The sequence below is a fragment of the Homo sapiens genome, chromosome 4, assembly GCF_000001405.40.
Source record: "Homo sapiens chromosome 4, GRCh38.p14 Primary Assembly".
NCBI classification, from domain to species: domain Eukaryota; kingdom Metazoa; phylum Chordata; class Mammalia; order Primates; family Hominidae; genus Homo; species Homo sapiens.
Window position 1 is genome coordinate 128,936,326 of NC_000004.12, and position 27,938 is coordinate 128,964,263.

The 27,938-nt window shown below is 34.0% G+C and overlaps 1 protein-coding gene across 12 annotated transcripts in view; it reads right to left on the reverse strand.

Moving 5' to 3' along the window:
* The window catches only part of SCLT1 (sodium channel and clathrin linker 1), a 220,299-nt gene that overhangs the window by 63,085 nt on the left and 129,276 nt on the right, over positions 1-27,938 (reverse strand). For 4 of the 12 annotated variants that reach the window (XM_017007717.3, XM_017007716.3, XM_017007719.2 and 1 more), the window contains exons 12-18: positions 23,275-23,452; positions 20,701-20,799; positions 16,444-16,515; positions 12,171-12,245; positions 9,682-9,839; positions 6,671-6,863; positions 330-526 (exon numbers count right to left, since the gene is read on the reverse strand). In XM_017007717.3, coding sequence (XP_016863206.1) covers positions 330-526; positions 6,671-6,863; positions 9,682-9,839; positions 12,171-12,245; positions 16,444-16,515; positions 20,701-20,799; positions 23,275-23,452 — 972 coding nt within the window. Of the gene's footprint in view, positions 1-329; positions 527-3,458; positions 3,570-6,670; positions 6,864-9,681; positions 9,840-12,170; positions 12,246-16,017; positions 16,208-16,443; positions 16,516-20,700; positions 20,800-23,274; positions 23,453-27,938 lie in introns of those variants that run through there. The other 8 variants (XM_047449590.1, NM_144643.4, XM_047449592.1 and 5 more) reach the window with 6 other exon arrangements.

Below are 27,938 nucleotides of genomic sequence, written 5' to 3' on the forward strand. Positions count from 1 at the left end.
GAGGAAGGGTCAGAGAATTTTTTTTCAAGGGCCAGAGAACAAATATTTCAGGCTTTGCAGGCGAAATAGATTTTGTTGCAACTATCTAAACTAATATATCCAACAAAAACTATTACATTTTCTGAAACATGCATGAAATTTGTAAAAAATATAATATTTGCTTTGGTTTATGACATAATATTTTTATAGTAGTTTCATAAATATTTACTGAAGAAAAAGGTAAGGTCCAGAATTATACATTTTTTAAAAAAGATTATGGCAAGGACATTAAACTATAGGTTAAAGAATTTCTTCTGTAAAACATGTCAAACAACTAACAGTAGACTTACTTTAGATTATTGATTCTAATTTCTGCACTTTCAGTAAGTTTCTTCGTTTCTTCTTTCCACCTATTGGCTGCCTTCTGTTGAGTCGCTAGGAGATGCCTCAGTTCAACAATGGAATTTCTATTACTGTCTTCCATCTCTCTCAATTGAACTTCAAATCCACGTTCCTTTATTGAAAATTCATGTTCCATTGTACTGATCTAAAGAATAAAATGAAAACGTATTTTCTTTTTCTTTTCTTATAGGTGCTATACAGATCAATGATATATACAAAAGGAATCATTCATTATGTTGTCTGAGGGACAAAAATGTTTGGATGAGAAAACTACGTAAGAAATCAAGTTTGGTCAGGTGCGGTGGCTCATGCCTGTAATCCCAGCACTTTGGGAGGCCAAGGTGGGCAGATCACGAGGTCAGGAGTTTTGAGAGCAGCCTGACCAACATGGTGAAACCCCATCTCTACTAAAAATACAAAAATTAGCTGGGCGTGATGGCACACGCCTGTAATCCCAGCTACTCAGGAGGCCGAGGCAGGTGAATCGCTTGAACCCAGGAGGTGGGGGTTGCAGTGAGCTGAGATCGCACCACTGCACTCCAGCCTGGGTGACAGAGTAAGACTCTGTCTCAAAAAAAAAAAAAAAGAAAAAAGAAAAAAGAAATTAAGTTTACAATTGGTCTTCATTACAAACGAAAACTTATAATGTTATGTCAGTAAAACTAGAATTATGATGAACTATATATTTTTGCAACACTTTCCCTAACACCTTAAAATGCCAGTAAAAGAAAAGTCTATTTATTATAACATAACACTTCTCTCTTTATTTACTCTGATTTCTGTTGCCAGAATCCAAGGAAAGTGTTGATGCTGTTGGTATCTGAGTTAAGTATTTACTCAAACCACTTTTGACTTACATACTAAATTTGAAACTCTTTCAAAGGGCTTTGTAAAGTCAAAGATAATTATATACAGGAATTTCTTTACCACTTCAGCTCCAGTATTAGTGAATGATTAATGAATGAATTATTTTTCAGGAGAAAGAGACAATATAAACAATGATTTTGAAAATCTCTTACGAAAATGTCTTCAGTACACTTCTAAGAATTTATGTCATTATAGTAAAAGCACTTTAATTGCAGCATGAACTTATAAGTAAATGCTCTTTGGATACCCTAGAAGCTTTCTCTGCTGGGGTTCAGGGAGAGAATTAAGCCCTAATGCTTTAAGGCATCCAATGTATATAATGACTTGCGTTCTTTCATCTGTGTCTACAATGTAACTACCTAAGTACCATTTTTGGGGAAATTGAGAAAAAAGTTACTGCAATATTTTTCTATGTTTTGTGGTTCAGATGAAAAACACTTGTGGAAAAAGGCAGCAAGGTGATTTGACTTCCTTATTGTACTCTCAGGCCATCTATATTTTGCTATACTAAAGAAGTATAAAGAACACTTATTTTGTGATACTTTAATTGCTTTACAAATGTCCACAGCTGGCTAGACTTCTAGTAATTCATTAAATACAGTTACTTTCAAACTCAAAAAACAATGAGAGTAATTCATTAAATACGGTTACTTTCAAACTCAAAAAACAATGAGATCAACTTTAGTGTGTCAAAAAACACAAAACAAGGCCCAACAACAACAAAATTCTTGGCTCACTGGAGCAAACTGCAAACATTCTGTCCTTGCCACCCCTGCTAAATGCAAAATGCTTCCTAAAACTCTTCAATTTGCTTTCTCAAATAGTACACATGCAGAAATTGAAGACTTTATAAATACAGACACTGGAAAACCAATCTTGGATGTGTTAGTTTTGTGTTGTATTACTGCTGTGCAAGCCTCCTGAGGCCACTTGACCCCTGCTGCTATCTTAATAATTTTTGAATTATTAGATTCTGCAAATTTAGATTGCCTGCCCTTTCTCCTTCCCTTCCTTAATCTTCATCTCCTCTGGAGAAGTCATGTTGGTCTAACATCTCAGGTGGAAAACAAAAAGTACAGCCCCTGTGAGTTCTTTCTTATGAACACATGTTAAAAACTGATCTATGGGCCAGGTGTGGTGGCTTATGCCTGTAATCCCAGCATTTTGGGAAGCTGAGGCAGGCAGATTACTTGAGGTCAGGAGTTCGAAACCAGCCTGGCCAACATGGTGAAACTCCATCTCTACTAAAAACACAAAAATTAGCCAGGCGAGGTGGTGGGTGCCTGTAATCCCAGCTACTCAGGAGGGTGAGGCAGAAGAATCGCTTGAACCTGGGAGGTGGCAGTGGCAGTGAGCCAAGATCACGCCATTGCACTCTAGCCTGGGCAACAGAGCTTCTCAAACAAACAACAAAAACAACAACAACAACAAACCACATATGCACACAAAACTGATCTATGCATCTGTACAGTTTTAGAATTTGGCTGCCTAGTTAACTCCCCATTTTCACTTGGAAAATCTATTTATCGTTTCACAAGCTTTGCTTTAAGACCCTTTATGATAACCTGGTCCCTGCTTACTTTTACAAGCTTGTGTTGTGCCACACTATTCCCTTGCCTTTCTTTTATTTCCACTATAATGCCTTTTTATTCTTTGGTTCTTTTCACATGCTGTTTCTTTTGCCTGAAATAATCTCTTTCTGCTTACCTATTTCAACTTTTGGAACACAGTACGGTTGTCAAAACATATTTGCAGATTGAATGGTGGCTTTTTGATGTCAAAATTCAGTCTCGAACAAGCACCATAGCCTTTAGTATATACAATTCGAATTACTACCTAAATTGGACAGGTCTGTGGTAATGCTGACAGGCTAAGGGCCACAACAACTGATCTCCGATTACAAAAATTCTATTAATGATAAAATTCAGAATGTTGGATGGGAAAAGGGGTTTTATGGTCTCTCTTCTTTCTTGCTTCTTCCTTCCTTTACAGAGAAATATCCACACAAGTAGATAACTGAATTGCTGGAAACGACTCCATTTCTTAATTTTAGATGGTAATGAGGCGGAATTTAGACCATGAAGAAATGGAGAGCCCTGGCAAAAGGAGTGGTTAGAAAAGGAGAAAGCGAGGGCTGAAATCAATGCAGTGGCATTAAGATCAAATGAAAACTTCATATGATAAATTGTTAAGGTTTGTAGCCAACTGACCTCCCAATATCTCACTGTCTTTATCTTTTTGGCTTCTTTCAGTTTATCTACTGAAGATCATACTCTTTTGCAAGAGGGAGAAAAACAGCAAGGTGTAGGTGCACCAGGTTCCTATTTTGTCAAAGAAAGAATCAGTTACAAAGCAATTTATCTTACAGCCTTCTTCCTCCATAAAATAGAATTATAGCTAGTTAGTTAAGACGTTCGGCTCTTTATCAATGGCTATTCTCTTAAGCTAGATACAGATTTGGTGAGATATGTGGGGTAGATAAACTTTCTATTACTCTTTTGTTGTCCATAACATCAGTTACTATCCTGAAATGTTAAAGACGGATCTAGTGGAGTACTAGATAGGAAAAATTCATTGATTCCATCCCCACTCATTATAAAAAAAAGAAAGCAAAACAAATACATATTGTAAAATTATGGAAAATAACAAAGCATTAAAGTGAAATGTTAAAGACGGATCAACTGGAGTACTAGATAGGGAAAATTCATTGATTCCATCCCCACCCATGATTAAAAAAAAGAAAACAAAACAAATATATATTATAAAATGATGGAAGATACAAAGCATTAAAAAGACAACTATAAGGTCCCTCTATTCCCAAAACTCAGATAATCCCTTCTAACTTCTACATAATTGTTTTTATTTATGAATTCTAAAATTGTTATTACAGTATGTAAAGGATTACTACATGTATGTGTGTATACACATAAATTTTTCAATCATAGGGTGTATCAATATAAATGCATTATAAATTATTTGGAAATATAGTTTTTAATGACAATACAGTATCTTATTAAAAACATATACACTATATGTCAAAAATACATATGTGTACACACAGGTAGTAATCCTTTATACACTATAGTAACAATTTTAAAATTCATAAATAAAAGCAATTATGTAGAAGTTAGAAGTATTATCTGAGTTTTGGGAGTAGAGGGACTTTATATATTTTTTTTAATGTTTTGTATTTTCCATAATTTTACTATACATATAGATGTAACATATTTACTTCTAGATATTTAGGTTGTTTCTAATTTATTATAAATAATGCTGCAATGAACTTATTTATGAAATATTTTAATTACTTTCTTATGACTGAATTTTAGACTCTAAAGTAAATACGTACCATTTAATACTTTTAGCTGCACGTTCACTTAGAGATACTTAGCAATTAATTAATGGTGAGTTTAAACTGCTTACTGCCTACTGTTTTTTTTTCTTAGATTGCAGATTCTGTTCAACTCTCACATGATTTTTTATTCGGTTACAAATAGTTTTCTCTTATATTTTTAAAAGCTCTTTAGATAAAAGCATGGGAAAACCTGCCCCCATGATTCAATTACCTCCCACTGGGTCCCTCCCATGACACACTGGGATTATGCAACTACAATTCAAGATGAGATTTGGGTAGGAAGACAGCCAAACCGTATCAGGATGTATGTATGTCTGGCTTTAAAAGATAATGCTACATTCCCAGCAGTATCTATCAAAGTTCTAATTGCTTTATATTCTTAAAAATACTTGATATTTTTAGTCTTTTTAATTTTAGCCATTCTGGTGGTGTGTAGTGTTATCTTGTAGTTTTAATTTAAATTCTCCTAAAAAATAATGAAGTTGAACATATTTGCCTATATGCTATTTTATGAAGTGCCTACTTAAGTCTTTTGGCCTTTTCTGGAAATGGAGTATCTATTTTTTTCTTTATTAGCTATTAGCTGTTTTTTCCTTATTAATATTTTTCTTATTAATTGGTAAAAGTTTTTATATTTTGGATATGAGTTCTCTTTTTGGTTATATGCACTACAAATACTTTCTCCCACTTTTCCCTTTCTTAATGGTGTCTTTTGGTGACTAAAAATATCTTAATTTTAGTGAAATCCAGTTCAGCTTGGATTTTTCACCATGGTTAGTGTTTTTTTGTGCTCTGTTTAAGAAATATTTCAAACCCAAAGGCAAGAAGATTTTCTCCTAGAAACTATCATTTCACATTTCACATTTAGGTCTACAAAGCAGCTCCAACTAATTTGCATATATGCTGTGATATAGGAGTTAAGTTTTATTTTTAAAATATGGATCTGACTGATCTAGCACCATTTGTGAAGCCAGTTTTCCCCCCACTGAACTGCAATGGTGCCTTTGTTATAAATCAAGTGATTATGATAAATGAGTTTGTTTCTAGACTCAATTTTTTGCCATTGATCAAGTTGATTATTCTTATGTTGATAACACATTGTCTAAATTATTTTAGCTTTTTATCAAGTCTTGATATCTGGCGGTATGGGTCCTCTCCTTGTTCTTCAAAGAACTCCCATAGTCTAAAGGTCAAAGTACAAACTTCTTTTTAAATAAGACTCTCTTTTTCATTTCGGAGTTCAAGGTTTTACAAATAACTAGGGCATTTCATACCTGCAATAGGAGGCATTCAATAAATTTATGTTGACATGAATTAGGTTGGAATATGACTTCTTAGGAGTCCTTGCAGCAATAAAAACCAAAATAAAACAGTGACATGACCTCTTCATATTCTTACTATGAAATTGGAAGATGTAGATATTTATCATAAAAAGTTAGTGCCACTTTTTACAAAAGTCTCATGACATGGGGAAAGGTAAGCAAGATGTTGATGAAGATTGTGTTACTTGAAAGTCCCTTAAAAAGAGGATCACCTTCCTATTACCAAACCATATAAGCATCAGAGGAGAAGGAAATAAGAGAGAAAAGAAAGGGAATTTGTTTTAGATGACATTTTTGCCTCTTGCCTTCTTCCTGCCATGGAATTTTCAGACTAGTTATGAATGGTTCTCAGAGCCTACTGCTTTAACATCCTCTATACAGTTAGTTTTAGAGAAGTTCAACTTTTCAAAGGCTACTACAGAGAGAGAAGAGAGGAAGGCAGTCTGTAAAGTTATCTAATCCATGGTTTTGCTAGTGCTGCTTAAATTGCTTTGGCAGGAATATCAGTATATTTCGTGGTTGGAAAAGAATTTTTTTGTGTGTAGCAAAGGCAATCATTTTCAAGTATGCCTGCCAAGTTCTACAACACAGAAATGATTGGTTAACACTCTGAATTATGATTTAGTGCTATCTGATGAGAAGGCAAAAAAAAAGGGGGCCTTAAAGATGTTTTGCTAGGTCTCTCTAAATATTCTCTATACTTTGATTTTCATAAGTACACATTTAACTCTAGTCTTGAAAATACCTTTACTTTGGCTTTTTTTTGAGCCTCCAGGGCAATCTTCCTTAAACTCTCAGTCTCTTTCCGTAACTGTTTATTTTCTTGCTGAAGTTTTAGCCTTTGTTCACTGACAAGCCCACAGTTCTCTCTCTCAGACTCCAATACATTTTGAAGTTTCTGAATCATTTCTTGGTAACGTGATATTTCTTCTGAGGAGCTGATTAAAAAACGAAATGAAAAGAATCCTTAAACTTAATGATCTATAGTAGAAGATAAAAGTCTGTCTACATTTTATCACATGGACTTTTGTTTGCTTTATTCTGAGCCATTTCTTTCCACTTTAGACTGAAACTATGTGGTTTCAAAATGTTATGTTATACCAGGCAAATACATTCAACTTAAATATATTCAAATTTTAACTAAGAACAGATGAATTGAACTGTTATCACTTATCTAGAAAATCAATGTGAGACTTCTTTCAAATTTGTACTAACATTAAGAATCACTGTGTATGGAGAACTTCAAGGAAATGAACTGAAGCAACAAAAAAAGGATGAAGCGGATAATAACCAAAACTCCTTTACTTAATCAATAAACTCCATGGACTAACACAATAGCTGACTATATTACTAAATTATAAAATCTACTTTTATATTTTTCCATTATATGTCTTAGAAATACTTTTTATAAACTTCTAGTTCTGTAAACTTCTTGTTTTATCATAGGTTAAACGGATTATATTTCCTGAACTGTCTCAACAATGGACCACTGATCACTGGGTGAGACAACCTCTATACATTAATGTTGCTTCAAATCAATATACTGCTAATTTTTATTCCTATCTTTTAAAACTTCCATCTTTTCAATAACAGATAAGCACTGTGAACATTCCCTGGTTAATAGGTTTCACAGGGAATTGTATGGAAATGCTACTAATATTGTGAAAGTTTAAGAAAACTACTAGTTAAAAGTATTTTGCAAGCAGAAAAATACTTAAAATTCTTAAAATAAAGAAGCAACTTTGACCTGGTGGCAGTTTTATCACCATGAACCACTCCTTCTGTCCTATTTTGGCATGCTGACCTGCCCATATCTGCCAGTGCTTTGGGTGAACACAGTTAGTGACTGATTTTCTTTGATCTCTACCTCTGCCTTTCTAGATCTTTGCTTCCCCAGCAACTCCCACATTCTTGTAAACTGTTTCCTACATTAAATCCTTTATTCCCGCAATACTCATAGTCTTTTTTCTGTCTAAACCTAGGCTGATAAAGTTCCTAATAAAATGACATATCTAGGGAATGATAATAAAAGGATGCTAACATCAGAAGATGCTGAGATCAGAAACAACCACAGATTGTAAGCCTCCTAATAGACGTCCACAATATCATCATCTATGAAGAATTCTTCCAAAAACAACAACAACAAAAAAAGAAAGCTAGACCAGATCAAGCCTCTGGGTCTAATTGCTAGTTTTTAGGAATTACATGAGACAGAGTAAATAGCATCAATATACAGGCATGTAGTGGAGGAAACTCTACATTACTAAGAACTCAGTTTTTAAAACAAATTATTTGCAACAACAACAAAAATACAGAAAAGGGGATTCCCAGAGATTAAAGGAGATGCAAGACTACAGCACTCCAAACATTCCTGAAATTAGAAATGGACAAGAGAACTCGCACTCAAGAGAAACCCTTTAAATGAAGTAACTAAGAAAAAAGTTCATCAAATATACTTTAAAGCACATATGAAAACTTAGGAGAAAAACTCTTTGTATGTGGAGAATGTGGGAAAGCCTTCATTAATTCCTCCTGTCTTGATGAACGCGTAAGAACTGATACTGAGGAGAAGAACTCTGCTTATAAAAAGAATGCATGGGAGCCTTTAGTCATTTCTCATTTCCTTAATGAAAGAAAAGGACTCATATTGGAAAGAAGCCTGGTAAATCTAAAGAAGATGGGTTAATCCTTATCCTTCACTCAACCTTCAAAATTTATCCTGGAGAGAAGCTTTTTGAAAGTAAGGAACATGGGAAGGTCTTTTACCCAGTCCTCGCACCTTATTCTATGTTTACACCCTTTAGGAAATATGTGAGAGTTCACCCTGGATAATAGCTTTATGAATATAAGGAACACAAAGAAGACTTCGATATCTCCTTTTACTGTACACACGCAAAATACTCATAATGCAGAGACACCATGTGAATTAAAACAAATGCAGGAATGCTTTTATTCAATACTCCTCCCTTAAGAGACATATGGATATACACATTGGAGAGAAACCCCGTGAATGTATGGTATTGGGAAAAGCCTTCATGTGTGATACGTCTCTTAGTACATACAAGATTTATGCTGGAATAAACCAGCTCCTCCTGCAGGTTTGATCTGGAAGTAATCATATGAGCAGATTATCTGAAAAGGTTATTGAAAATTACACATATATTTATTAAACAAATTTGCAAGATCTCTTACTAAAAAAAATCTTTATTAATTTAGGTATTAGTATTTAATTAAAAATATATTTTGAACACATATAGAGATTGTGATTTTAGGCAATTCAAATAAGAAAATTTTGCTATATTAGGTAATACCGTCGGGGTGGGGAGGTAGAAAAATAAAATGGTATGTCAAATTATGACTTTATCATTTTATAGATAATAAAATATACAAGATGGATCATTATAGAATATTCACTATAACAAGAAATACACTAAGTACAGGTAGTATAAAAGAATATAAGCAAGCTACTATAATAGCTGCACAATTGGTACAAAGACAACAATATTATAAACATCCTATTTAACTGCCAGAAAGGATACATTTAAAAGAAAATGGTATGCTACTGTTAAATCTTTTCTTCCTGCAGAAATTCGCTTTCAGAAATAATCTTGAATAAAATTATATTTGGTCCTAATTGTTTTTTTCAACATAAGATATATTGTAAGTCCTACCAAAAAAAAGAAAAGGTAGCGAATCTGTCAAAAATTGTGTGAATTCTGAAGATGTTATCATAGAAAATCCAAAAGAAAAACTTACTCAGTTTCAAGTTGTTTTATTCTATTTTCTGCTCTCGTAAGTCTTAGCTGAAGATCATCTTTTGAACGCTCTGAAACCAGGAATCTTTGGTGCATTTCTTCCAGTTTTCTGTAATCACTCTCATTTCCTCTGCCTTCACGGTAAATCTGCAGAAAAGGCTTATTAGGTATATAATATTACAGAAGAAACTGTCTTAATAAACAGTTTAGAAACAGAAATCAATGGAAGAAATAAAAAGCCATGATTATGTGTTCATTTGTTCTGACCGTAACATATGAAACATATCAATAATTAAATCTGGTTCTGTCACATTTACAAAATAAAATGCTAAAAACTAATATATAAAATAATAATAGTTTTGAGACCAGCCTGGGCAACATAGCAAGACCCTGTCATCTAAAAAAAGTATTAAAAAATTAGCTGGGCATGGTGGCTCACACTTGCAGTCCCAGCTATTAGGGAGGCTCAGGTAGGAGGATCCTTGAGCCCAGGAGATCGAGGCTGCAGTGAGCCATGATCATGTCCACTGTACTCCAGTCTGGATAATCGGGCAAGACCTTGTCTCTTAAAAAATAGAATTTATTTTTTTGGAATTATTCATGCTCATGGTAAACTATGCAATAATACAAAAATGTAAAGCAGCTGAAGTAAAAATAAATGTCAACTTAGAGATAACCACTGGTGATTCTTTGATGAGTACCGTTCAATACAATCCTCTTTTCCAATATTCAAAAATAAAGATACATGCCATGGTGCAATAACTAGAACTCTCTGCAAGTGACTCCAGAATCTCACTCTGGGTTACCTGGACAATGATCTAGCTAGGATGGGGCTTCCCCCTTCCTCGGCAGTGGTGGTTGTACCTAAGCTCAGCTTTCCATGCAATGGGGCTCCCTCTTACAGCACAAGGTCTGTAACATCCTAAGAGATCCAAGGTCTCCAGGTGTAAGCAGTTCATACGTTGAAGCAAATCCTGCACACAGCTACCCCCAAAATCTAGACTGCCTGGCCAAGTAACCTGTGTCTTCCCCACTGACAGGACTGCTTTGTCACTCTCTATAAAAACATGGAGTATCAGCACGTCAACATTCCACTACTGGAATACAGATCTAAGCTGCAGACCCAGCAGTACTTTGACCTTAGAACACTGGTCTGTGGAACAGTGGGAGAATAAGGCGCTGTGCTTTCTCTTTACCTGTTGTCTTTTGCCTTGTAAGTTTTACATTTCCCCAAAAGCCTTTTCCTTAACCTTTGCCATGTGATGTTAAAACATTCATCCCAAACCCTGATGTGTAACAGGTGGCAATCTAAATGGAAATTGTACGCAGATGGAAACTCAGAAGGGACCCACCTTGCAGGAGAGTGGTAACCAAAAGTCCTATTTTGAACACATGTATTTTTTTTTTCACAAATGGAATTGTACATTATGTTTTGCTTTGTGTATTACTCTTTTACTGATGTCATAATTTTTTCATGTTCATAATAGATATAGACCATAATTTTTACGCTACATAGCTCTCCTTTGAAAATCAAACTCTGACTCTACCATTTACCACTTTTTAACATTGGGTAAGTTACTTAACCTCTCTATGAAAGTTCTTAGTGCAGCACCTAAAACACAGTAAGTGCTCAATCAAATTTGGCCTCCTTTTCTTTTCCCAAGGTACTTTACAAGAGCAGGATATTACTGCTAATAAAAAAGCATATGAAAGAGATGAATTTTAAACTATGGAGTTCTCCCTATAGTTTTTCTGAAATATCACGGGGGTAAATATTCTTCCTAAGTGTGAAATTAAAATCTGTACTTCTAAAAGGTAAAAATCATAGCAATGCTATAATTTTCTGGTTATATATACTTGTTTTATTTATAGATGGCCTAAGCACCATAAGAGCTAAAATAAAACTCAAAAAGAAAGGAAAGACAAAGTGAAATTTCGTAGGATGAGGTTTAAGCAAGAAATATAACTACTTCACAAAATTTATATCTTTAAGTACAAAGTTCAAAGAATACAGCCGCCCTTGGAAAAGAATTGTATCCAGGCAACATCAGTATTTAACTGTAGACTCTGAATATATTTAAGAAAAGTGTGAGGCTGAGGCAGGCGGATCACGAGGTCAGGAGATAGAGACCATCCTGGCTAACATGGTGAAACCCCATCTCTACTAAAAATACAAAAAAAGTAGCCAGGCATGGTGGCACACGCCTCTATTCCCAGCTACTCAGGAGGCTGAGGCAGGAGACTTGCCTGAACCCGGGAGGTGGAGGTTGCAGTGAGCCGAGATCATGCCACTGCAATCCAGCCTGGGTGACAGAGTGAGACTCCATTGCAAAAAAAAAAAAAAAAAAAAAAAAGAAAAGAAAAGAAAAACTTACCAGGACAATACTAACAAATAAAGGAATTGCTAGTAGATGGCATGATGGAGGCAGACAGTAATGTTGCATATTTGCAGTTGGGTTTTAGGTAGTTATATTTCCTTTTTCTTTTTACCTTTTCTAGTTCTTCTTCCACTGCTTTTTTTTCCTTAATGACTCGTTCAATTTGGCCTTGTTTTTCAGCACACTCCTATAAATTCAAGTCATATTGTAAATATATACATTTGGTAACATCTTAAGAAAAGTGGGGAAAAATTATAATTTGTTCATAATGGGAATATCATAGTTATCAACACAAGTTTAAGGTTATATTGATTAAAAACAAAACAAAACTCAATATTTGAAGAGCAACCTAACCCAGGATTGCAGAAATTGCCTCCAGCAGTAGGATGCCAAGGAGTTCTAATTAAACAGACTGAGGTTGGGGGATTCCAGGGAGAAAAAAATAAATAGAACCCCTTTCTCATACTATAGATTTTCTTTTCATATACTCTTATCAAGTATTTTGAAAAGGGAACATAGAACCAGATAGTGGCACAAAACCCTCAGGGATAACCTATGGCCTAAAGGATATGTGGGTGTATAAATTCTAAAAAAGTTAACTTTTTTCTTTACAAAAATTACAGCCAACAGAAATACTAAAAATATTTTATTAGCATGAACATAAAGTATTTCTGCTCAAAAGATTTTACTCTGTATTTAGCAAGCATATCAATTAGATAATAAAATTTAACATTTTGCTAATGCACCTAAAACAAAAAAATCATAATTATTAGTTCTTCACAATTATTTGTATTTATACATTTATTCTGGAGAATGGGTAATGTGTATGGCTTGTTTTTTTTTTTTTTTTTTCGTGAGACAGGTGCACATGTGTATGTTAATAGGACAGTAATCAGTGCAGGGGGAGGTCATCTCTGCCCCACCCTGTTTGCGACCCACTAAGGCTGGCCTCCACTGCAGAGTGCCCCTCATTCTGTGCATTTGCATTTCTGTCCCTTTTTTTTAATTGTTATACTTTAAGTTTTAGGGTACATGTGCACAACGTGAAGGTTTGTTACATATGTATACGTGTGCCATGTTGGTGTGCTGCACCCATTAACTCATCATTTAGCATTAGGTATATCTCCTAATGCTATCCCTCCCCTCTCCCCCTACCCCACAACAGTCCCTGGTGTGTGATGTTCCCCTTCCTGTGTCCATGTGTTCTCATTGTTCGATTCCCACCTATAAGTGAGAACATGCGGTGTTTGGTTTTTTGTCCTTGTGATAGTTTGCTGAGAATGATGGTTTCCAGCTTCATCCATGTCCCTACAAAGGACATGAACTCATCCTTTTTTATGGCTGTATAGTATTCCATGGTGTATATGTGCCACATTTTGTTAATCCAGTCTATCATTGTTGGACATTTGGGTTGGTTCCAAGTCTTTGCTATTGTGAATAGTGGGGTATGGCTTTTTTTCCTCTTTTTTTTTTTTCCCCTAATTGTGAATCATGCTTTGGAGGAACCCACTTTGCTAACTGTACACTACGTACTAATGATGTTCAATTATTTTATAGAAGAAGTGTATTTCAATATGTTTTTAAATTTTAAAGTAAGCTTCTTTTGTGACCCAAAATTAATCACCATTGATGATAATGAAGATCTTTAAACCTGTTACAAATCAGTTGACAAATTTAAATTTAATATCTTTTATTAAGATAGAACCCTGAGTGTATACAAAATGCAACATTAATATTCCACATATTCATATAGTAAGTTGCTTATCTAGGAGAGGGTAGTTTCAGTGCTAAATTTGGGATTTTACCTACATTCGTAACTCCTCCCATGTGATTTTTAATATATATGTTAATAACAAAGTCTGGCTCACACTTCTGGGGCTGGCAAGTGGTATATAAAGAAATGCATGTGTAAGTATGCTTCATATCCCTCTCCACCCAATCCACCATTTCACTGACAAATGATGATGGCCTAAAGAATATTTGGTTAACCTGGGGGTAAAAAAGGTAAAATGAGACAGCAAAGTTTAAGCCTTTAGAGAGAATTACCATACTAATTCTAGTAGAAATGCACTATAATACTAAAGCAAACATTAAAAATTACTATTACAAAGTTTTTAGAGATATTTGCTTATCACCACTGACATGCCTACCTTTGGGGGAAAATATGACAAAATAATAGATATTTTTTCAGGTACTCATGGAGTATTTCCAAAATAATACTCTATAAAAGAAGTCTCAATACATATTAAGAACCAACCATATAGACCATGATCTGTGCTGCCGACCTAACCAAATGAGAAATCAACAATAAAAGACAGTGTAAATCCTCATGTATTTAGAAACTAAAAAAAAGACTTCCAAAAAATTCATCCATCAAAGAAAAGATCATAATGAACATTTTATGTTACTTTTGTAAGTTTGAACATTTTATAATTAATTTTCTTATTTGATATAGATTAATAGCAATCTGCTACATGGCAGAATAAAACCTTGAATATTCTTAAGATAAACTACACCTTACCAGAGAAAACAAAGGCTGTTAGGTACGTGTTGGTCTCCAAAGGGAGATATGTAGCTTGAAATGTAATGGCTCCGGCTTTTTCTTAATCTATTAAATAATCTGCACACTCATCTAAAATACAAATTTTTCTCCTTCCTGTGAGCATACCTTACTTTTGGATCAGCAAAAGTATGCATAACTTCCTTCCTGGACTTCATAGTGTAAATAAATAGTATAGATGGATAGTATATTATACTAATACTATTAGTCTAGATAGTAAAATTGTTAATAATAGAAAACAATAGCAAGCATCAGGTTATTATGCTTCAAACTGTAGCTTAGATTTTTTGAGAAAATCTGTCTTAAAGTAGCCAAATATGTTTTCCTTTGAACATATTTTTAACATAATACTTCAAACTTTTCAATTACACAGTATAGTTCTCCCCATAGAATCAACATGACTATGAGATGTTTCATATCTTTAGAAAAATCACTTAGCTATGAAGTAGAATTGTTTTACTATAAGAAACACTTTTTGCAATAAACTGAAATTGTCATTCTTTTTACTCTAAAGTGAGTTTAATATAGCTCTGGTTGTTACACAGCTAACAACGATTTGAAAAATCCCTGGAAGTCTTAGCCAGTCCTTGTTCCCTTGAGAATACAGAAAGAATGAATATTCATGCCCTTGCAGAGTTTACCATCCATTAAATGATCTTGGACTGGGGTAGTACCCTTCTACTCCTCTTTTTCCACAAAGATACGAATCTCTTGATAGCTAATCAGCCCATGAAAGAAAACAAGCAAAATAACTGGGTGATAGAAAAGGAAGCAAAACTCCACAACAACAAAAAATTACATGTCACTAACTGGCCACATTGCATCTCACTAATTTTACTTGATGTTCCTACATTATTAAAATAAGTGACATTAAACAAACAAATACAAAATAAATATTCCTTGTTCTATTACATTTGGGACCAATACACAATGATTAAGATCCCGTCATGTGCTCTCCAAAGTTTGTAGAATGGCGAAAGAAAATGTGATCCCTCTTTCAGAGTGTTTAAATATACCATTCAGTTGATAAACATTTAAAAATATACTCTGCAAAACACTGTACTAGGCAAGCAACAGGGAAAATAAAGGAAGGCGTAAGACTCTACTATGTTGAGATGCTTACAATCTAATTGCAGAGGTAAGATTTTCATGGAGAGAGACAGAGTGTGTATGCTCAACATACACCTAAAGCATGATAGTTATTACAAGATATGATTCATTGCTAAATTTTGTAACAGAGATAAAAAGTGATACAGGGAGTCAGAAAAGATGAAAGTTTGTGAAGTTATAAACATTTTCTCAATTCTTGAAAATTGTTATACTTTTATTCTCCTATAAGCAAGGTTATTAAATTTCATTACATCAAATCTTCAAGTTAAACTTCTATTTCCAATCTCACCTCTAGCCACACAAGTATTCTTTTCCTCTCCCCTCTTGGCCTACTCATTCCTCAGTATTCATTTCTTTCAGGAAGCTTTCTGTATTTCTTCCTTCCCACTGTTATATATACTTTCTCTTTCTCCTTGGTTTCCCAGATAAACTCAGCATATGATAGGAGCTACAGCTAGCAATAGCATCCTGTGCATTCTCTGTCAAAGACAGGTAGTTACAGTAAAATGTGATAAATGCCATCTATCTTTCCTGCTAGAACATAAGCCACAAGGCTGCTGCAAACATGTCTATCTGGATTTTCACTTTTTTCTTAGCACCTAGCCAGGGCTTGGTTTAATAAGTATCTTTTGAATGAATGAATCCCCAATAGTATATATCTTGGCCTTTAAAATAAGTAATATTTGGAAGAAAATATCAGTATAGTCAAACATACCATTTGAAGGGCTGAAAGTTCTTCTGTTAATCGAGAAATTTGTATATTACATTGTTTTTTGGTGTTTGCAACCTGTAAATTAAGACATTTACTCATTATTTGGTTCTAGAATAAAAATGATTAATATCTGATAAAAACACTCAGGATAATAATTTTGATAAAAATAAAATTGTAACTTTTAGGGCATAAAAGACAAATAAGCACATAATATATTAAAGAGCCAAGAATTTGCCATGAAAGTGGAAGGAGAGTGAATAGAATGGTATATCCAAAAGGACCGTGGTTGTCAAACATTTTGGTCATAGGATGCTTTTACCCACAATTAAAAAAAAGATCTTTTGCTTATAATGGGTTCTATGAAAATCTACCATATTAGAAATGAAAACAGAAAATTTAAAGACATTTACCTACTAATCTCTTAAAAAGTAATTTCTTACCGATTAACCTGAACAATATTTTTATAAGAAATAAGTATATTCTCCAAAACTAAAAATTTTTGAGAAGAGTAGCATTTTTAAAATACTTTTGCAAATTTCCTTAATGTCTGGCTGAATAGAAGCTAGATTCTGATATCTCCTTCTGTATCAACCTATTGTGTTGTCACATATCATACAGCCTCTGGAAAACAACACTGCACACGTGTGAGAGAATGACTGAAAAAGGCAGATGATGTCTTAACTACAATTATAGAAGTAGGTGTGACCTTGTGGCCTCTCTGAACAATATTTTTGAGAACTGCTGCTATAAAGCAAGTCAAAATTTAATTAATAACTTCTAAGGTTTTGGGAGGCCGAGGTGGGCAGATCACGAGGTCAGGAGACCGAGACCATTCTGGCTAACACAGTGAAACTCCGTCTCTATAAAAAAAAAAATACAAAAAATTAGCCGGGCATGGTGGCAGGCACCTGTAGTCCCAGCTACTCGGGAGGCTATGGCAGGAGAATGGCGTGAACCTGGGAGGCAGAGCTTGCAGTGAGCCGAGATGGCGCCACTGCACTCCAGCCTGGGCAACAGAGTGAGACTCCATCTCAAAAAAAAAAAACAAAAAAACAAAAAAAAAACTTTAAAGGTGCTTTTGACTCATAAACAGAATACTTTTTAAATAATACACACCACATCCCAGTATTAAATTACTTTTACATATGAAGATATTTAAATTAACATTTAATAACATTTAATAAGTAACATTTAATAAAATTTAATTAACATTTAAATATCTTCAGAAAGAAGACTATTAATGTGCACAGAGCATTTTGAAGAGTTAGTCACATCTCATCAGGATTTCGCTATGACAATAAATTTTTCTAATAACTATTCATGCTTTTTAAAAGGACTGTGAAGAATACTGATGCCAATAGTATATCATCAGTAAATTTTATGATCTAAAGGTCTTCGAGAATTTTCTAGTACAAGATGGACTATTTTGAAAATATGATGTAAACTTTGTTTAGAACATTTACAATACTGCCATGTACTTTATATGGTTAATTAATATGAGTGTTATCTTTTTGAAGACCTGCCAAGCATATTATTTCTGGGTCTATTTTAGTTTTTTTTTTTTTTTTTTTGAGACAGAGTCTCGCTCTGTTGCCCAGGCTGGAGTGCAGGGTCGTGATCTCAGCTCACGGCAAGCCCCGCCTCCTGGGTTCACACCATTCTCCTGCCTCAGCCTCCAGCTGGGACTACAGGCACCTGCCACCACATCCAGCTAATTTTTTGTATTTTTAGTAGAGACGGGGTTTCACCGTGTTAGCCAGGATGGTCTCAGTCTCCTGACCTCGTGATCTGCCCACCTCGGCCTCCCAAAGTGCTGGGATTACAGGCGTGAGCCACCGTGCCCGGCCAGCTCTTTTAAAGGTTATAATTTGATGTAGACTTTTCCTATGAATAATTATATTAAGAATCAATGTATTCTGTTTATGAAATCAGTAACAATAACAGATAGAATTTATTGAGGATTAATGGGTGTTAGGTACTATTCAGAGTGCTTTACATGTATTATCTCATTAATTCTCACAAAAATCCAATGAGGTTGTTATTATTTCCATTATAGATGAGGAAGACTGAGGCAGAGAAATTAAGTCATAAATGTTCCTATAACATAAAAATTTTGGTTCTTATAAGCCTGTCATGTCTGTCGCTCTCTCACATAATTTCTAAAATGTGTTCTTTTCAGTATCTAGAAATGATACAGCTAACTTGAGGGTTTATGTCAATAAGAGGGTACATATTTTGAAATACATTTATAGTAATCCTGGCAAAGTCAGACGAATCAAACTACTCATGCCTTTTAAAAGGACTGTGTAGAACTATTGACACTGATGGTATATCATACGTAAACTTCTAAGCTCCAAAGGTCATATGGAATTTCCTAGAGTTAGCATCTAATGAAACAAAATGTAAACTTTTGTCATGTGAGGAAACACACATTTCAGTGAGGTAGTTTACTGTGATTGGGGTTTTGAAGTCTGTAGAGGGACTAATATCCTTCTCTCATCCTAACCTCACTTTATATAAGCATTTTTCCTCTATAATTTTATGAATAGTAAGGACATTTATAAACCAAATAGTAAGATAAACTATTAAGAAATAGGAAAATCCAATAATGGCACCAGCCATGATTTAAAATCAAAAGTGAACAATGTATATTTTTTACAAATTTTAATTATTTGAGAGATATCTAAGAAATAAAGTATTTTCATATTTTAAAGAAATAAGCCACGTCATATTTTTGTTCAATTTTATAGCCAGAACAGAAATATGTGACAATTTATTCATTATATTTACTTTAGTCAATAGGAAGAGATACATGTAAAGTTATTCTCAATTCAACAGGTTAATTCTACATATTTGAAGGACATGCCGTGAATAATTTGGGATTAAATGAAATTCACAGAACAATGCTAAAAATAGTGCTATCTCTGGGTATTAAACTTGTAATTTTAATTTTCTTTTATACATATTTTTCATTTATACATATTTTCTCATACATATTTTCCATTTCTTTTTACAATGAGTATATATCACTTTTAATAATAATTTTAAAAGTTTACTTAAAAAAATCAACTTGGCAACAGTGTGGAACTCAGAGGGGGCAAAGACGCAGCAAAATGCTTGGCACACAGGAAGTGCTCAATAAATACTTCCTGAGTGAATAGCTGTAATGGCAGGGAAAGGCTGGCTACAGGAAATCAACAGGAACACCTAAGGAAGGAACAATCTGGGACTGACTATGAGAGTAAGTTCAGTTTCAGACATGTTGAGTTTCAGATGCCTGGTAGGACTACATATTTGAATAGGGAAATAATTGGATTTTAGGAAGCATCTGTATTTTCCGTTTGCAAAACATTTGGAATGAATGAGATCACAATGCTTTTGAAAAATTCTACTTAGATTATTTAAAGCTTCATGCAAAAGATGACCTTCATCAACCTCAAAATCAATTTGAATTTATTTTAGGATAAGAAAATACAATTAGAGGAATGCTCATACCAAGAATACTTTAATAAAATATTTTTATCATTAAAAGTATAAAGTTTATTAATATTTATTTTAAAAATATGTCATCAAGAATATTTTAGGCTATAGTCCAATGTTACAGTACTCTCAACTTCACAAATAGGAAAGACAGAGCTCCTGCAGAAAGGATATAGAAGATGACAAATTAAAAAGCCCAGGGTTTACTTTGGACTCTGCCTTAAATTAAAAATTTTATCTTGGGAAACTATCTAATTTCAGTCATATAAGACAAAGTAATAGATTTTTTTCTTTACACCATGATTCTGTAAAAGTAATAGATTTCTAAGAAATACTTCTGCAGGAAGAAATGTTGTACAGTGGCTTTATGGAAATAAAAATTCTACCACTTAGTTGCTTGGGAGAAAGCAAACATTTTAACTTTATTTTTTCTAAACTGATGGAAGTTTTGAAAACCAGTTTAAATCTACAGTTCACCTAGGAGAGAAATAATATTGCCCACAAAAAATACAGATAAAGAAAAAAAAGGAACATCTTTATTTTATCCAGTGGAGGGCTATACAGTATATCCCACTATCCTACTGGAGATAATTTTAAAGGAAAGGAGCCTTTACTCAGTTCCTTTAGTTAGTTTTTAAACACTTAGGTTAATAATTTCATATGGAGTCTTTATAACTATGTAGGCAAGTATTTTAATTTTAATTTACAAATATTTAGGTAGAATTTAGTCTTTAGTTGTGACTTAAATTCTGAATTTTAAATATAATTAAAAATCCTTACTTCTTTCTTGGTTCTTATGGTAGCATCTTGTACAAACCGAGAAACTGTCTCTTTCATTTTCTCTATGTCTTCTTCTTTTTGCTTCTCCTCAAGTAGAGCCTTCAGAAAATAATCATTTCATGTTATAGATAACATTATTATTAGTAAAGATAATAACAGGTGAAAACCTATCCACTAGTCACTTCCTTATTCAAAACTTCTGGGACATCTCTACTTGAATATCATGTTGAAATCACGAATGATATTTATTTTCCCTAACCTCCTCACCTGCCCTTGTCCTAACTAAAGACACTTTCTCTATGGTATTTATTTCAGCCAGTGTTTCTAACACCCTTCTAATCTCTACAGCCAGAAATCTTAAAACCATTGTTGAATTTTCCATTTTTTCAAGTCCCTATATAAAGTAAATAATCAAATCTAGGTATTGTATCCTTATAAGAATCTCTTGAATTTCTCTCTCTTTCCATTATTTAGTATTATTCAAATTATGTCACTCATTAACTCATAATTTGATCATTGCAGACACTACTTGTTTTGTCTCTTTGATGTATTTCTATAATTCCAATCATTTCCATCCTCCACCAAATAAATATTGCCATAATCCTAGCTCTGCTGTCAGTCACAGTCCATTTCCTTGCTTCTCTGAGAAGCAAAACTCTGTAACTTGTTCATCTCCAAGACTTTTCCTCTCAATCTCTTTTATACTCCCTTGAATCAGGCTTTCACCACCATGATCTCCATATTGATTATCTATAAGTAAATTTTCAGTACTTCTTTACCAGCAGCACTTGAAATATTTACTTTCCTCTCCTTGTTGTACTTTCTGCATGTGATTTTCAGCACATCACACACAGTACCGGTTTTCCTCCTATCTCACTGATCATTCCTCTTCAGTCTACATTGCTGATTCTTCCTCATCTCCTGAACCTCTTAATACTGGACTACCCAAGGTTCACTTCTTGTCCCCCTCTCTATCTGTCCTTCTCTTAGTGGTCTAATCAAATCTCACAGTTTTAAATATCATTTATATGCTGACAATCCCCATATTTACATCTCTAACACAAACCTTTTTCTGGGCTTGGAACTTCTTCAATTAGGCCAAATTGAATCCATTTTAAATCAACATGTAAATGGCCCTGTGTTCTGTTCCCACCATCTTCCAAAGGTACCATACACATTTTTACCTCTGTTTTTGTAAAAATTGTTTTTTAAGATAAAATTCCTCCACCTTAAACAAGTAAGCTAGTGAGAAGTAACAGCTGTTCTTATGTAATAACCTTGAGGGGGAGAAGGGGAACTATGCTAGGCTGTACTTCCTGCCTTGTTTGTGTGATCGGCTGGGAGAACCTTTGACTTTGAACAAGCAACTGAAGATGGGAACCCTCTAGCAATTAAGCAATGAGTCAAAGAGCAGCTTAATATTGTAACCATAGACAGCCTCTGTGAGCGTCTGTTGACTTAAGATTTGAGTGAGAAGATTTGGGAGGAGGATGGGCAATGAGTGTTCCTACTATTTTCTCTGTCCACTGTGCTCTACACAAGATGTTTATTTTTAATGGCTTGGTATAAGAGTGCTCATACAAGTAGGCTTCAGAGGGTAGAGATAAAAATTTTTTCTTGACCTTAATTTTTCCAGCTGATTTAGGTATTCGACACAATTCCCAAGCATATTATGTCTATTGTGTTCCTCTTAACCATTCTAAAAGACAGTATTCAGATCACAGATGAAAATATTAGTTGAAAGGCATGATAAACACCTTAGCATCCCCACAGTTAGGATTTAGATAATTAATTCTTTTTTTATTTATGAGCTTCTCAATATCCAACTTACACTATATTCTGTTTTAGAGCTCTCTTGAAAAATCCTCTGTAAAAAGGGAAATAAAAATAAAACAAAGCATTTCCTTTGTACCCGTATTCTGCATATACTAGGCATTCGATGAATGTTGGTAAATAAATTAATGATTTAATGAACTCTACATAAGGGAGGCCGCAAAATAAACATTAAAACATTTGTTTTGTGACTTCAATAAACTTAAATGTATCATTCATAGGGAAGCAGTATATGACAAGGAACACTGTATTTGACAGCACAGGAATCACAATTGTTAGAGAATTAAAAAAGAACAGTGACATGAAGCCTTCAGTAAATAAATCTTTAAAGCTAATTAAGCTTCCGCTTTAATAAAGTAATTGAGTATATGATGAAGGGGAATAGAGACGGGTAAGATTTATCAGATTCAACTGAATAAAATATAGGGTATACTGAAGTAAAGCACTGTTAACAGTTTTTTTTTTTTAAGTATGAGACTACAGGGGATGAAGATTAGTTACGCAGCATCTGGGAGAATAAGAAAGTCTGATATTTATACATTATTTTAGAAAAGAATTGATGTTTTATCATATGATGATATCTGGTTTTACCATCCAAGAATATGGATGATTACTAATGAAAAGAGTAGCAATTTCATTTTCATGCATTTATTCAACAGCTATTGAATCCCTTACTGTGAGGTCACATGGGAGAATAGTCAACATTTTATTATATCTAAACATATTTACTAGCTTTCTTACCTGACTTTTTTGAAGGTTAGCTTCTTCTAAGAGTTGCATGCTATTTCTGGCTCTTACAATAGCCTCATATCTCTCATTTTCTAATTCATTGCACTTTGCTTGTAGCTCTCTGGTCTGTTTTTCCAGATGTGTATTTTCGGTTCTTAATTGGTTGGCTTCTTGGATTGTCACACATAATCTAGAAATCAATAATTACACTGGGAAAGTTAAACTTTTTTAAAGGGAAGGAGGGAGATTTACTGAGCATCTACTACAGGACAGGTATTATGCCAGTAACTTTCACATGTATTAATATTTTCTCATTTGATACTCATTACCCTTCTATAAAGTAGGTTTTACTATCTCCATACCTTCATTTTAAAGAACAACAAACATACCCAGAGAGGTTAGGCATTTGATTAAGATCATAGCGCTAATGAGCAGTGGGGCTGAGACTAAGCCTGGATTTTCTGATCCTAATTATGTTATACTTGTTATGGTATCACACTGTATTATATAGTTACATGACAATGATATAAAGCAAACCCTTAAGAAATGAGTTGTTCTTTACATTTATATGGTCTTTTCTCTTTTCTCTCCTTTCATACTCTCTACCCAGACAAGCTATGTTAACTTACTAATGTATATCTTAAAATAATTTTCTCAATATTCATATGATCATATGTACATATATATATATACTCATACACATATACACATAAATATACACACATATTATACATACAGGTAATGACAGGAGCTTTTTAAACTTTTGTTATAACAATAAAAATCATAGTATACACCCTTTTCTGTACTTGCTTTTCTCATCCAATAATATAGAAATCTCATCAAGTTAGAAAGGCTCCTTCCTTTCCTAGTCTAATGAATGTAACCTCATTTCACTGTTAATCTGTATTTCTCTATTAGAAAGTTTAGGCATATTTTCCTCCTTTTGTAAGCCATATGGATTTTGTTCTTTGAATTTCTTCTAATCTTCTTTGCATATTTTTTTCCGATGGGTTGTTTACTTTGCTCTTCCCTTTATAAGAACTCTAAATTAGGCCGGGCGCGGTGGCTCACGCCTGTAATCCCAGCACTTTGGGAGGCCGAGGCGGGTGGATCATGAGGTCAGGAGATCGAGACCATCCTGGCTAACAAGGTGAAACCCCGTCTCTACTAAAAATACAAAAAATTAGCCGGGCTCGGTGGCGGGCGCCTGTAGTCCCAGCTACTCGGGAGGCTGAGGCAGGAGAATGGCGTGAACCCGGGAAGCGGAGCTTGCAGTGAGCAGAGATTGCGCCACTGCAGTCCGCAGTCCGGCCTGGGCGACAGAGCGAGACTCCGTCTCAAAAAAAAAAAAAAAAAAAAAAGAACTCTAAATTATAAATATTAACCCTTAGTCTGTCCTTTATGCTGCAAATTTTTTTTTTTCCAAATCTACTTTTTTGTTGTTGTTGCCTATTGACTCTATTTAGGGAATCTTCGCCACACTAAAAATTTAATACAGCTAAATTTGACTATTTTTTTTCAACTTTTGCGATTTCAGTTTTTATAAAGATGGTCTCCTTCATCCATAGATTGTCAGTGTAATCTCTTAGATTTCCTCCAAATATTTCCATGACTTTAATTTTTACCCCTAAATTTTTAATCCTGACTCATTTGAATTTACTCCTGAATATGATGTAAGAGAAGAGTCCAATTTAAGTTCCAGACTAATGGCCAGTTGTATGAATACCATTAGTAACTAATGAATTTAAATACTCCTATTATCACCCCCAAAATATGCAAATATCATATATGCAAATATCATAATTTACTAGTAGAGTATGTTGCATTGATCTACTTATTTATTACATGCTCAACTCATTTTAATTTGATTATTGTGGCTTTATAACATGTTTGGTAAGATATATTTTATAATTTTCTTTGTTATTTGTTATTTTCAGACATTTCTTTTTTTTTAAATAGTAGAAGCAGCAGCCTTCTCTATTCTCCCCACTAACCACATCAAAACCCTCTTCCTGTCAGTCAAGTGGTTTATTTTCTCATGTGTTTGGTAATTTTTGATTAAGTTCTTATCTGTCTAAACTTAATCTGTAGGAATCCTGAGGGGTCTGTGTTCAAAAGTATTTCCCCCAAAGGTTTACTGTTGCTTCTTCCATGCACCAGGACTCCCTACCAATCTGTTGCCACTTTAGTGTTTGGGGCTGAGGTTTCCAAATCAACAAATAGTATAATATTAAACAACAGGCTCATATGAGGGCAGAGTTATGGTTACACATTCTCAGAGAAGACTGCAATGATTGTTATGATTTCTACTTTCCATTTGGCTACATGGTGGAAATAGTTTTATTTGTTGGCTATCGTTGTTAAGAGGCAGGATTTTTTTCTATTTTAGTCTTTTAATGAGAGTGTAGTTCCTTCAGGGGTTCCAGCCTGCCTAAGGACATTTACCTTCTTGCAATATTATACAGATCCAGCCCTGACCTCCTTGGCAGGGAAGTCATTTATTTATCATTCTTGTTTTAGCTTCCTGTTTTTGTTTTTGTTTGTACACTTGAGAATACCCAACTATATAAGTTGAGCATTTAAATGTAATTAAACAGTTCATGCTATAAAGTTTTTATGCTATTAGCATTCTAACATGTAAGTTAAAGAAACAACTTTGAAAACAAATCATGTTGTAATTGATCAAGATGCTTACATTAAGAGGGTTTTTTTCAGAATATTTAGTCTGACATATTATGTGAATGGAATAGTCTGCACAATCATTATTAATCATTACTTTGTTTTCCTCCATTTCTAACCTGTGTTACAGAATTGTTGGTCCACTCAAATATCTGCCTCAAATCTTAAGAACAGACGTTAATTGTATATTATGTCTACTGTATCTGGCTTTTGTTCTTCCTTTATACTGATAATATTAGACTTTACCTGAGCCAAGAAAACAGGGATGGCTAAGAAATCCTCCCACCTTTTTTCTCTAAACCCCCTCTATCATTTTGTGTTTCAGAATAGAGCTAACAGCATAAAACAACCCTGCTCTCGCATATTCCAACATAAGACCCACCTCCATCCCTTCTCATGACTCCCCTAAGACTCATACACAACTTGTTTATCCACCTATGTAAAACCTCAGACCCCTTCCTTTTCTTTGAAACATTCCTCATTAATGAGCATTCTCCCTACTGCAATAGCCTGAATAAAATAATCTTCTGAATTATCTGGTACATTTGGTCTTTCACAGTACTAAAGACTCACCCAACTAATCTTGAAGAAAAACAATTGTATCTAAATTCTGTTTTTCAATCACTTTCATATTACTTTTCTCAAGCTCTCATATACATATATCCTATGGTAACTTAGCTTTTAAAATGTCTTCAGTCTAGGAAGTGAATATTTGCTGAAGAAAGGCGAAAAAAATGATTTGGATTCTGATTAAGTAATGAATGATATATAAATCTGGGTGCATTCTTTAGTAAATATGGGTGAAATCTCAAATATCAATTCAGGTGGATAGTGGCAGCCAACCAAGAGTCAATTATATTATTGAATAATTTTCTTTCCCTAACAATTTAAGCATATGAGTAATGAAGGTCAGAAGGTAGTGGGGGTGATGATACAAGTAAGTGATGCCTTTCAGTCAGACTTCATTTAAGTTTTTACTTATTTTTTAAAAACCCTATTTTTAATAGTAGTATCCATTGGTGAATTTTCCCTACTGATGATAATCCTTTGTATTTGTTTAAATAGGTATAAATGTTGTTTAAGGACTTTTCTCTGTCATCTACGGAGATAATCAGATATCACCAGATACTGGCCACTCCTAGAATTCCAGAACCTAAAACACTGGCTGGTACAACAGTAGGTGCTCAGCACACATTGAAAACATGATGCTTCACCTGTGAATACGAAAGTCCCTCTTAGGAGGGAGTCTTACAGACTTTTCTTCTAACAATGTATGGAAAATCATACCTAGTCATACTGGGGCATATCTCAACTATCTCTTAGACCTTTTTCTACTACTCCTGTTCAATAGGCATAAAAATAGAAGTTTCAAGTATGCTGCATATGTCTCCTTTATACTGCCCAAAATTACCACAAACAAACATACAAAAATTATTAAAACTTCATTTCACTTCTTTTCTTCTCAAATCTAATTATTATTGATTCCTTCAAGGACCATACTTGTTTTCCTCTACCTATATTAGTTATTCTAAATATTAGTACACAAAAGGCATTGTTAATGTGGGAGGGGCAGGCATATATTTATTGTCACTTTTATTATAGTCATTGTGTCAAATGAAAAGATTTTATTAAACAGATAAATTATTCATTTATAGCAAAATAAAATCATCAAAGCACTTGGAAAATGTCATCTTTTCAAGATGACTTTTAGCATCTGGTTAAAAATTACTTCTCAGCTTTAGAAAAAGACAAATATATATTCTCCCTACCTAAAATAAAGTCCACAATCTAATATGAAGTCATGTGGCTCAACTTGTACAAAGAAAAAAGATTTTTAAAAAAGTACTGCATGGACCATTCTGATATACCAGTGTCCCATACTCAACAGTTTGCAACTATGATGGTATTGGCATTTGAAATGTGTAGGGACATTTGGTAGTTACAATGCTAAGAGATGCGACTAGAATTTAGTATTTGGTGCCAGGGATGCTAAACAT